The sequence below is a fragment of the Homo sapiens genome, chromosome 3, assembly GCF_000001405.40.
Source record: "Homo sapiens chromosome 3, GRCh38.p14 Primary Assembly".
In the NCBI taxonomy this organism is placed as follows: Eukaryota; Metazoa; Chordata; class Mammalia; order Primates; family Hominidae; genus Homo; species Homo sapiens.
In genome coordinates, this window is record NC_000003.12 from 116,246,606 (window position 1) to 116,259,512 (window position 12,907).

The 12,907-nt window shown below is 37.7% G+C and overlaps 1 protein-coding gene across 4 annotated transcripts in view, besides 1 other annotated feature; it reads right to left on the minus strand.

The window, feature by feature from the left end:
- LSAMP (limbic system associated membrane protein) overlaps positions 1 to 12,907 on the minus strand; it is a 643,114-nt gene that overhangs the window by 444,232 nt on the left and 185,975 nt on the right. The window lies entirely within an intron of this gene.
- Positions 10,183 to 10,739: an enhancer, noted in NCBI's record as "NANOG hESC enhancer chr3:115975635-115976191 (GRCh37/hg19 assembly coordinates)". NCBI's record gives its function as "activates a minimal SCP1, AML or CMV promoter by ChIP-STARR-seq in naive H9 embryonic stem cells {active_cell/tissue: H9 hESC(naive)}" and the evidence as "EXISTENCE:reporter gene assay evidence [ECO:0000049][PMID:30033119]".

Sequence of the window (12,907 nt, forward strand, 5' to 3'; positions counted from 1 at the left end):
GCCATCCTTCCATTTTTCAGCACCGTGATAAACAACCCAACTGCACATCATTCTCTTAGCTCCACAAGCACCTCGGGGCAAGAAGGGGAGGGCGTGTCATCCTCCTAAGTTACATCCAAAGTGATGCATATGGCAGGGTGAGGGAAGGGAGAAGCAGTAAGTGAGCACTTGGACCAGTGATAAATGGGCTAGCAGCCCTAGAAATTCAAAACAGCTACATGACTGAGAGACTTTCTCATACTTTGAAAATGTCCTGGTAGTGGTGAAGATAAGTCATAAGAAGGGTAGAGTGGGGTGGGGTGGGGTCGAGACAATGTTCATTTCAGGACACTTTGAAATCAACAAGGCTCACATCAGCTTTTCCATCCCCGATTTTTTTGTGACTGTGGTCATCTTCTTACTGATAAAGACACGGTCAGGAGATGGATATGTGATTAGAAAACAAGCTGGAAAAATTACATAGAACAGTATGGTATTAATAATTCATGCAGGGCTTACATTCCATTTTCAGTTAGACATAAAAGTAAGGTCACAGAACTCTGATCTCAACAAAGTAATGTGAAAGTTGGGAGAATTGTAAGTCTGGGAGTAACCGCTGCCTGATATTTAAGTTGCTTCTGTTAATGTCCCTACCTCTGTATTGTGCTGGTTTCTGCTTATCCACAATCAATGACAGAGAACTCACTACTGTACTCTATCAGACCAGAGCCTTTCTATATACATTCAGACTGTCCAGCCCTTTTTCAATATGTACCTGTCACACGGTTTCTTAATTTGTGAATAAAGAAAATTGCTATATAGGATCAATATTATCCTCTAAACACACTAATTGATAGACTGAAAAAGTATTTAAGAATGTTTACATGTCAAGAGGCATTTTTGCCTACTTGGGAATGAAAATCTTACAAATATGACATAGAAGAATAATATTATGGAGATTTTTAGAGATATTTTTGAAGAAATTGTGGGAACAAAGTAGATAACATTTTAGAAAGAAAGAAGTTTTGGGACTATGGTAAATTTACGAGTGTACTCAGGGAAAAAGTCTTTCTGTGGATGAAAACCAGGGAGAAATACCAAACTGAATTTTGGCCTGGAACCAAGTATGGAACTCAGAAAGAAGAGACTTCAGTAACTAAGGTTTATCACTAGGTTTCAACTATTAATGTACAGTTGAATTGTGTAGTTAAACATAAAGTGAAAATAGGAACCTGGCCAATGTTAATCTTTATCAGGCCATATTGACTCATCTGAGACAGTTTAACATCACTTACTTCTCCTCACCTAAATTATAGTGAAACATCATGTCCTCATAAAGCTTTTCAGATCATGTCAGGTTTAAGTCCACACAGTACAGCATTGAAATCATGGGAGAAAAACAAAGAGTATGGTGCCCTTGGGAAGATATTTTCAAGGACATATTCTTTAATGCTGACACTATTAATCATCTGGGTGTTAGCAGTTACCAGACTCTGTGCCAGGTAATGTGTTACGTACTAGAGATACAAAGATGGAGCAGATAAATGCCCTATTTCTACAAGCTCCCAGATTAAAGGGAAAGATTTATGCACAGGTAACTAATTCATTTGGGAGCAGGGAAGGGCCATCCTTCTGGAGAAAGAAATGGTTTCAGAAAGGAAATAGAATCTTACCTTTCAGGACCTTGAAGGATGAGTAGGATTTTAACAGCTAGAAAAGGAGAAAGGGAATTTTAGGTAGCTATCATATCTAAGCAAGAACTTTGGGGCAAACTGGACACAGGTGCACACACCTGTAATCTCAACTACTCAAGAGCCTGTGATGGGAGGATCACTTGAGCCCAAGAGTTTGAATCTGTCTAGCCTGGGCAATATAGTAAGACCCTGTCTCTAATGTGTGTGTGTGTGTGTGTGTGTGTGTGTGTGTGTGTGTGTGTGTGTGTGTGTGTGTATCAGACTATGGGGACAGAGTAAACCGTTTAGTTTATTCCTCCATTTTGCAAATGTTAGCTTGACCTGTCAAAAACGCAGGGAAAGGAGGCAGGCAGTATTCTCCACCAGGGCCAACGTGCTTAATTTCCAGGCCAGCCACTTTGGAACATTTTGGCCTTCATCTCTCCCCTTTCCTTCCCCCGACTCACTGAGGTTTCTTAAGCAAGAAGCCAGGCCAAGGATGCCTGTGTACATATGTAGGCATGAGCACACCCATGTCTGTGTAGACTGATGTGTGAAAGGCTGGCATTTGGATATAATCCCCATCAGTTCATTAAAATGGACTAAACTGCCAGGCGCGGTGGCTCACGCCTATAATCCCAGCACTTTGGGAGGCTGAGGCAGGCGGATCACGAGGTCAGGAGATCGAGACCATCCTGGCTAAGATGGTGAGACCCTGTCTCTACTAAAAAATACAAAAAAATTAGCCGGGCATGGTGGCAGGCACCTGTAGTCCCAGCTACTCGGGTGGCTGAGACAGGAGAATGGCGTGAACCCAGGAGGTGGAGCTTGCAGTGGGCCAAGATCGCGCCACTGCACTCCAGCCTGGGTGACAGAGCGAGACTCTGTCTCAAAAAAAAAAAAAAGGACTAAACTTAAACAACACTTTTGATACTATGAGAGTCAAGGGAGAATCAGTATTCATCTAAATGTGTCCAAAATAATATCCCCTAATTTCAGAATTAACAGCACATGTGAACTCTTTATCTGATATTTTTTTCCACTTCCATGCCAAGATGACAAGACAAGTTTTCTGCCTTATCCTGGAAGCTAGTAGTTCTCAGAAGCTTTGGAGACTAGTAGAAGATTCTATATTTTTTTTTTTTGAGATGGGAGTCTCACTCTGTCATCCAGACTGGAGTGCAGTGGCGCAATCTCAGCTCGCTACAACCTCTGTCTCCTAACTTTGAGCGATTCTCCTGCCTCAGCCTCCTGAGTAGCTGGGATTACAGGTGCATGCCATCACACCTGCCTAATTTTTGTATTTTTGGTGGAGTGGGGGTTTCACCATGTTGGTCAGGCTGGTCTCAAACTCCTGACCTCGTGATCCGCCCGCCTCAGCCTCCCAAAGTGCTGGGATTACAGGTGTGAGCCACCACACCCAGCCAGAAGACTCTTTAATACATAGTCTTCTGGGTACCGTATATCCAAGAGAGTCCCGAAAAATTAGTATTTTCAGCAAAATCAATAATAGACCCCATTAGATCATACTTAGCCACAGTTATGGGCCAGCACTACCCTTTAGCATATGTTTATTATTATTATTGTCTTAATTATTACCGATGACAATATCATACTGTCAAAAACTCTTGCCATTAAAATTCTAATTTAGAATTTACAAAGTGCTTCTAAGAGCATTATCTCATTTATTTTTCTTATGACCTATAGGATAGCCATTATTGTAAATCCTATTTTATTAACAAAGGTTCGTAGATCGAGAAAGATAACTGACTTGCCTAGGATAACTTAGCTATTTCATAGTAGTGTACAGAAAAATCCAGATCTTAACATTATGTCTTTTGTTGTCCCAGAATTTAATGAGTTGTGCCATATAGAATCATATTCAATGAAGTAAATAGCAGAGTGCTTGACAACAAAACTCATGCTATATTTCTTCCCTAATCTTAGTTTAAATACATATAATCATTGTATTGTTATCTTTCCTACAAGTACTTGTTTCAAGTAAGGTAACATATTTTTTTTGCTGCCTGAAATATAATGTCAAATACAGAGTACCAGGAGCCTGGGGACTTTCTATCTACTCTAAAAGAACATATTCTACTCTTCACTATGGATTTGGTAACATTTCCTTCATTAAAGAGTTGCCTCCTTTATCTTGACTTTAATTCACTTTCAATTCATCCATCCCTACAAAATATTCAAGAAAGAACCATTTCTGTATAGAAATTAAACACAAATTATTATCAATACTGGAACGGCTATTTTCTACCTTCATAAATGTCTAAGGTTGTGATTTAAAAAAACAAAACAAAAAGGAACAAATATCAGGCCTGGTGGCTTAGGCCTGTAATCCCAGCACTTAGGGAGGCTGACATGGGTGGATCACTTGAGCTCGAGAGTTTGAGACCAGCCTGGGCAAGATGGCAAAACCTTGTATCTACAAAAAAAAAAAAAATACAAATATCAGCTAGGTATGGTGGCATGCACCTCTAGTCCCAGTGCCTCAAGAGGCTGAGGTAGGGGATCACTTGGGCCTGGGAGGTGGAGGCTGCAGTAAGCAGAGATCGTGCCACTGCACTCCAGCCTGGGTGACAGAGTGAGACTCTGTCTCAAAAGAAAAGGGAGTGTTGGGGGGAACAAAAGAAAGCTATAAAAGAAAACGGAAAGTAAACTCATTGCTGTCCCTGTGTGTACATCTGTCTTAGAGGCAGGACAAACTGTTTCTGCAAAGAATGGATGACCTTAGCTGGAATCCACTGAAGGGACAGAAGGTTAACTGTCCATGTGCCCACCTTGTTGTCATGAGTTCACTACCCTCTTTGCTAAGATATGCTGCCTCCTTGATAAGATATGTGGTTTCAAGCAACAGTTTCTCTTTTTACAAAACGTGTCCCTCCCATTTGGACAGATTAGCCAAAACAATAAACTGTTGAATAAATTATTGTTAATTTAAGGTCGAAACATCTGATTAAACATCAATTTAACTTATGATTTCTCTGATGAAATCCTCACTGGCATTCTGTAATCTGAAATCTGGAATTCCTAATTCAGCCACAAAGTTTGGTGTTGATTTTTTTTGAGGAGGCCATGGTTAGTACAAAAGGTAGAGATAGAAAACAGGCAGAAAGTACCTCAATACCAAGAACACCTTTCTAACAGAAGTTGTTCATGGGAGCCAAGGCCACCCAGCAAATGCTTTACCCATAACGTTAATCACAAGCAGGTGAAGTCATTAGCAAAGGATAGGTCAGCAATACAGATAGAGACAGGTGAGATAAGATAATACAGACCCAGAGGGTCATTCCTTTTATGTCAAGACTACAGAGGGCAGCTCCTTTAAAGAAACTAAATGGAGCTGAGCAAAATGTTACATCAAGAATAGATAACTGACCCATTCCTCAGAAGGGATTACTGCAAGGAGTGGAAGCTTAGGCTGAAAGACATTTAGGAACAATTCCAGTGCTTAGATTCTATTAAAGATTTCAATTTGCAAATATTTTAATTTTATCTTATGAAAAACTTGCTTTTCTTACACAAGCCAAAATTCAGTTATGTAGCTCTTAAATCATGTTGTACCTTTAAATTTAAATGGATGGTAAATAGAATTATTTGTTAAGACTTAAGTCCTAAAAGCTGAAAAACTCATTCTGCTTCTCATACATTTGACCAATAGTGACAAATCACCAGCTGTAGGCAGCCCAAGAGGCCAATGTTTATTAAATGTCTCACTCGACCCCAAATCTCATGAATTGTTTAACATACAAGACAGACAAAAAGCCAGTATTTCTCCTTGTGTCAGCTCTCGTTAGGAGCGTCTCTGCTCCTCTCACTGTTGGCTAGAAACAACATTAACATTCATTGTTCTTAAACACATGGGAGACCAAGGGGTCCCTGTATACACAGCCTATCCTATGCCACATGTGTGCCAATGTGCACCTAGTCCATAAGCACAAAGAAGCAAATGTTAAGGCCACATTGATGGTACCCACTTAAGGAGGGCAAGGCAGTTGGCAGTGTGTACTGTCACCACGAGGGGCAACTGAAATGTGCTGGAGAAAGAACTCAGTAATCTCACACCAAAAAGAAAACCTCATGAAATCAATTGTGTAGACAAAGTGAGACTTTTCAAGCCATCCATTTAAAGCCAGTCATAATAGAATTGGCTTTAGGTGGCCTGTGACCTGCAAGACAGATGCTTATCCAGTCTTTGAAGTAGCTAAAGAATTTTGTCACTGCTTTTTTCTCATGCTGCCTTTCTCAATAATGTATGAAAAAAAAATAGAAGGAACACTATCAGCGTGATGATGGGTGGTTCATTTGGAAAATCTCTAGAGGCTCTTGTAATCTTATGAATTCTCGTGATTCTAAGTGACTAAACATTTTTAATGAATAAAAATTTTCTCAGCAAAGTAAATATTTCAGCATTATGAACGTGAATAACTTGAGGAAAACCTTAATGCACTAAATGTCTACTTAACAGGCATTCAACTCTACCATTTCTGTAAATAGTGTGGTTTCGGCTAGCTCCGCAGATGTCATCATGAACTTATGGGATGTTTTCTTCTTTGCAACAGCCTCCAGAAAGTCCAACTCTGACCCCCATTGTCAAGGATTAGGGGCACACTATACTTAACTGGAGACATAAGTACTGATCAACAAAGAGAGAAACCTATTTGGTTTACAATAACCTGACCATCTTAAGAAAGAGGCTTTAATTATTCAATCAGTCCAGCCCTTTCTGGACTTCTCGAATCAATACGACATTCAACTAAACCAGCAGTTCCAAAGATGTTCTAGCCTTGGATTATTATCAGAAATATGAAGCACAGCACATGGCCCCACCCTTTCCCCCCTTTCTTCATAAAGAGAGAGCTAGGAATTTTCTTGATATATTACTATTGCAAAGGGGTATGAGAAATGGACGCATTTTGCAACTTAAATAAATACAGAATACGGAAAATAAATACAGAAAAAAAAACCTCTTCACCATTTGCACATACTGACCAACGTGATTTGTAGTAATCAGTTGTCACCCATGGAACTACAGAAAACAAGAGGTGATATTTTCCATTAGCCACATCCAAACCCCAAACAAAGAGTTCCTATGGTGGTGGTTATAAACATCAGCTAAACTCCCTGGAGAGACACATTTTTCCTAGAACATTACATATAGGTGATACATATAGCATGTTTTTATTACTCTTATTTGTCTTTTATCTTTTACATGTCTTTGCAGATGGTAATTCACAGCAACCCAAAATAAGACTACAGAGGCAACAGAAAAGAGCACTACATAATGTTAAGCATAATAAACCTTAATAATTTTCTCTCACTCGTTCACGTAGCTGGAGCTAGGCTACAAGAAGTCCTGTGGAGCTTCCTTTTCTAGGCATGAACATTTCTCATTTGTTTAACATTGTGAATCAGCAGTTATTGTGCTTCAGTGAACCCAGAAGTTTTAAAGCAGGAAGAAAGTAAATAAATAAATCCGACAAAGTTTAAAACTTAAGAATGAAAGACAATGGCAGGAAAACAGAGTAGAGTGGTATGATTCAAGTTGCTGTAAGGGGCAGGATGATAGCTCTCTTTATTCAAAGGGGCCATGCAAGCTCATTCTCATTTCCAAATAACCATAGCATTTTATGAACCGCATATGCATTTTCAGACCATCAAGTTCTTCCCAATTTAAATACCATGTGCTTCTTCACATTATTTCCTTTCCCTGCAGTTCCATGATGGTCTTTTATCTTCTAACGTCCAGTAGCACTGACTGCATATCCTTCATAGAGGATGTTTAATTTGATAACTTATGGAGTAATCTACCTTTTAACATACCCTAAATATATGTGGAATACTCTCTAAAGACAGGGACCATCACTTGGTATCCCAACTTCTTGTACCATCCAACACAGAGAAGGAGGTAAAAAATGATCTGTTGATTAAAAAAAGCTTCTGTATCAATTTTATAACTATTAGTCTGTCCACAAATTAGAGCTGCATTTAATAGTCCATGTATTGATTCATGTAACATACAGATTTATATACAATTTCACTCACCACTGCCTACTTGCTTTTCAGAAAAGAAATATGATGTAATGTGGCCATGCAAAGATGGAAAGTGAAGAGATTATTAAAGAGAAAAAAATTAAAGAAAGAGGAGGGGGTGATAGAGGGAGAAAGAGAAAGGGAAAGGAAGAAGGGAGAAGGAGGAGGAGGAAAAGAAGAAGACCCAATGTGCCACAATAAAGATGGCTGTTAGGGTGGTTTCCACCATATCTGCCTCTCATGAATAAACAAAACCAATTCCCTCTATTAACACCGTTTTGTTTCAGTAAGGTTATAGCACAGTTCTGCTAGAACTCAAGCTTAAAAGTGAGGGCCCCTAACATCATCAGAACTGGAAAAAGCCAACTTTCGCCTATGGCTTGATCCAAGCCTCTGACTACCATCTGTTTAGTGATTTGACTTTTCAGTTTTACTTTTTGGAAGATGCACCAATGGTTGACAGTATTTCCCAGAATCTCAGATTGCTCAACAATGTATTTTTCCACAAACCTCCCTGGATAAAAACTCATGATTTTGCCAAGAATTTTAAATTTTGCACTGAATGTTGTGCAATCTCTCAGAATTATTCTATATCCTCGGAATTGATTTCTGATAGAAAATTAACTCCTAAGGTACTTAAAGATTAAAGGGACACTTTTCACCAGTTACTGAGATTGGATGTTAGGAAAGCATCTTTCTCTTTTGCTCTTTGGTCTTAATATATCTTTATACAGTATTTCTGCCTGAGACATGAGACTGCATTTTCTCTACATTTCCATCTCATTTCAATGAAGAGCTCTATTCTATATTTTTGTAGACAAGGCCCTCCTCTTCTTGATCCACCCATCACCATCAGTAGTGATGTTTGTTTTAATAACTTGCTTATGTACTGACTTGAGAATTACTGAATCAAAAAAGAACTCAACAACTGAGTGCACTACTAACTAAAGAAGAAATTCCAAAAGGGCAGTTATATTTTATCAAGTAAGAGAAGGAAAAGAATGTTGGCCAGAGAGCTGCAAAATCATACAAGAGAGAGAAAGAACATGGTGCTTTAAATATGAATTTATTGACAAGTTTGCTACAGCTTAAAAGTCTTTGGTTAGAGCAGACACAATGCAGGAGTCCACAAGCTAGAACAGTTTGATTATGTGCCAGAAGTCTTTTTCAACAGCCATTTTGAAACATGTGTATTTATAGACAAAGAGAACCATAAAAATTGCACATGGTCTTCTGACCGCTGGAGCATTTAACTTTAGCTGGAGAAGTGAAGTGGAAGCCAATTTAATCTTTTTTCCCCTCTTATTTTTAATACTTTGGTAGCACATTATCACACCTACCTTACAATTTGCTACTCTTAAGTTAAATCCCTGAAGGCCAGGCACTGGGAGACCTAAAACCAGATGCTGGTGAATGTAAGGAGGGGAAGGGCTGAGCTTCTATGACAATTAAGCAAGAAATCCCTACAGAAATCCAAATCAGCTTTGGCTATAGGAGGAAAAAAATGTATGCTTCCAGGAAAAACAAAAACGTGTTACTAACCTATGCTAGAGGCAAAAACCACACTTTAGTAGGAGATACTGCTGAGAGGTTTGTTTATTTATTTATTTTTTTTGGTGACACATTGAATAATAATGGAAATAGTCAGACACCAGTGGATTGTATATATTTGGCCATTTTCCTTCTTTTTGGGTTTTCCTTTTCCTTGCTGATCCTTCCTTGTTTATCCGATCTAATGCAATAAAATGCGTAATTAATTTCTAAACGCTTCCATTGAGCGGTGCAATTTGTCAAGTCGAGTTGTTAATAGAATTAAGCTTTTTATCAGCGATTAGCAAAAGAAGGTTAAAAAATTAATTACGAAATTGTATGCCTCCCTGGTTCAAAGCCAGGTTTTGGATTAAATGTTCGATAAAGGTTTCCTGACACGTTATAAAACATTTAGCAAAAGCTGCTTTCCTCTAGTGCATTTAAAACCTGTCTCTGAGCAAAACCAACCAGCAAAGCAAGAGCATTTGCGCAGACCTCAGTAGTGCACACAAGCGTGGAAAGATAGAATATCACTTTTACAAAATACTGAAGAAAACACTGGTTTTCCTCCCCCTACTCAGGAAAAAGGACAAGCCGTGACCTTGCAAGTGTTTTTCATCTTTAACTTTTGATAGTGTGATTTGCAGCTTGAGTAAAATTGAAGAATTGGTTGAAAGAAGTAATAAAACAGTCCATTGATGATATAATTAATATATAACATGCCTTTATCTGTAATTATATACAACATATCCACAAAGGTTAGTATGTAAAGGATAGAAAGTAAAGAGTTGAAAGCATGCTCAAAATATCTGATCCTCTCTAAATTGCTGTTACAATTTATGCATTTCTCCTGTACCTGGTCCTCTCTTTTCTTTCTCTCTTCTGTGTGTCAGTCTCACCTCACTTTTCTATGAGTGGAATAATTCAATCCATTTCACCCTATCACTGTCTCCACTCCAAGTGAGGAGGAGAGAGGATGAATCCGATAAATCAGACCCTGACATCTATCCACTGAGTCACGTGTCATGAGTGGCAAAAGCTATTGTTCCACAGTCACAAAAATCAAGTCCTATTTTACCTTTCTTTCAGCTGCTGCACTCAGGCACAGCTAGCACTTTTTCCTTGCTTTCACATCTGGGGCTGCTATGCTTCGACTATCTGCTTCCAAACCCTATGCTGGAGGCACTTCTGGGCAAGACCCTGAGAGTGGTTTTCATGGGACGGTGTGTGCTCTTCAAAGGAGGTACACACTCCTCTGTGGCTTTCAAATTCTAATTTAGAATGGGAGGTCAGAGGATGCCCTTCAGCCTTAGATCTAGGTAGTGTTCTCTAAACTCCCTTTTAGCAGGGACCCAAGCGTTATAGTTACAGGGAAATTTTACTGACTAATGTAATTGGTAACACATTTACAAATGGAGTATGCCCAATCTGTGCATGTGTACTCCATCCCTCAGAAGGCTGGGAGGTGAAGGCATGAATAATAAGCCAAACACTCACTATGCAAAATGTTCTTTTTCTATTAAGTAGGGTTACTCTTTTCTTCTGTTTTTCTTAGTCCTTTTTCTCTCTTGTGTCTTTTCTGCTTTTTAACATTGTTTGGATAGTTTTCTTGAGCAGTCATACAAGATTCAATTTGTAAGAAGTATTCAAGGAATGGTGCAGTGTGACAGTTTTATGAAACAAATTTGGATTATAGGAAACAATAATGTTATTGCACTTTCTGACATAAAATTAAAGATTTTTTTTTTCTGAATATTTGCTGCTAATGATAAAATAAACAACAAAACAGAAAAAAACAGAATCAGCTTAGAAATCTGGTAGAGAATTATAATGAGCAATGTAATTTTTTTCTGGTTGCTTGAATTTAAGCTCTATGACCTTCACGGAAATTTCTAGTCTTGTTTATTCCTGTAACCTCATTACACCTACAGAGCTGCTGATACATGGTGGGTGCTCCATATAAATACCAGTTAAATCAGTGAATGGTTAAGTGAATGTTATTCTTTGTGTCATTTTTCCTTGTTGCACTTCCGTTATTGAAATTTTAAAAAAGAAGTATTCTTTGTTTTCTCAGTAAACATGGAAATATACTTTGACTTTCCTTAATGACTCAGAATTTTGCAGTGCCTCATTAAGTATGAGTAATATTAATTAACACTACAAAATTAATAACCAGGCAATTATCAGGTAAAATAGGAGGAATTAAAACTGATCCTCATTGATCTTAGCTTGTCACCCTTTTTACTTTTGACTGATTCTTTGATTTCAGCTTGTTTTCTTGTTCTTTATCTCATTCTCATAAAGGAAAGAAGAATGTGCAATTCTTTGGCCTCCTAAACTAAATTTAACACCATTGCCTTTCTACAAAATTGATGAGTGAATCTAAGGATTAATCCGTCTTCTCCCAAATTATTTTCCAACCTATATTATAATCTTTTTTTTACCATTTATATCAGTCTCCTTTGAATTCTCAGTAGCTTTCAAAATATCTTTTATTATCTGAGTATTACCAACAACTTATTTAAATATGGATGTTTCATTTAATTCTTCTGTATCTTTTTTTAAATCAGTTAATAATTTCCTCCATTTTAAAAATTAATGCTAGGCTAGTATATTAGAAACCCGTAATCTTTAAAGTAGTAAACAGAATGTCAGGGATGAATTTTTCTAAGCTTTTTTAAAATTAAATTTTAACAGAATTCTAAAAGAAAATAATATTTTAAAAAGATGATCCTTTATAATTGTGTACTATAATCAGGTGATGGAAATTTCTTTTAAGGAAATGTATCATATTCTAAGTAAGAGTGAGGTCCACAGTTTGAATCAATGAAGCAATAGCGGCCAATAGGAAAATTATTTTTAAAATCATGTGTTTGCCCTGCTTCCTGAAGGTGAACACAACACTTGCCTGACAGTAAAATAGAGTTGTTATTTTCAGATAGGCACATACTTCTAAAGTGACCTCTTATGATTCGTATAGTCATACAGAGACTGCTCAATTAAAAAGATAGAGGAGAGTGACGTCTATGCATAAGCTTGTACCTTCTTATCAAAAGGTTTACGTGTAACACTTGAAAACTATTGGGGAGATATTTTTCATCATTAAAAATACGTTTTAAAGAGAACCCCTACACATAAATGTACACATTCTGTCCTTGTTTCGCCAAATCTGTAGACATTAGGATTTAGCTTGACCCTACCCAAGGATTGTCTTTTTATTAAATCAGAACATTTCAGTTCATGAGTGGTGTTAACACTGTTCAACATATTCAGTAATTAGAACAGGAGAAATTCTACAAAATTGTTCAGTGGCTCTGCAGTCAGCTGTTAGATTTTCACAACCATACATTTAGCAATTTGATAACATGTCAGACTTAAAATGCCAAACTGATCTTACCAACAGTGCACATGCCTCAATCAATTGCATTTACTCAAAAACCTTTTTTAGCTTATTTATGAGACATTGGCCCAGAGACAGGAGTTAAAAACACTCATATAAAATATGGTTTGTTTGTTCTAACATTGCTCTAGAGGTATAAGACAGTATTTAATGGCTATACTTTGTTCATAAATGGTGAAGAATTTAGACCGGTTCATTTTCAGTCTTGACAGTCCACAAGATAAACTAAAATTGGAAAATTTCACCAAGGCTTACTTCTTATGCCCATTTTTAAAAATAA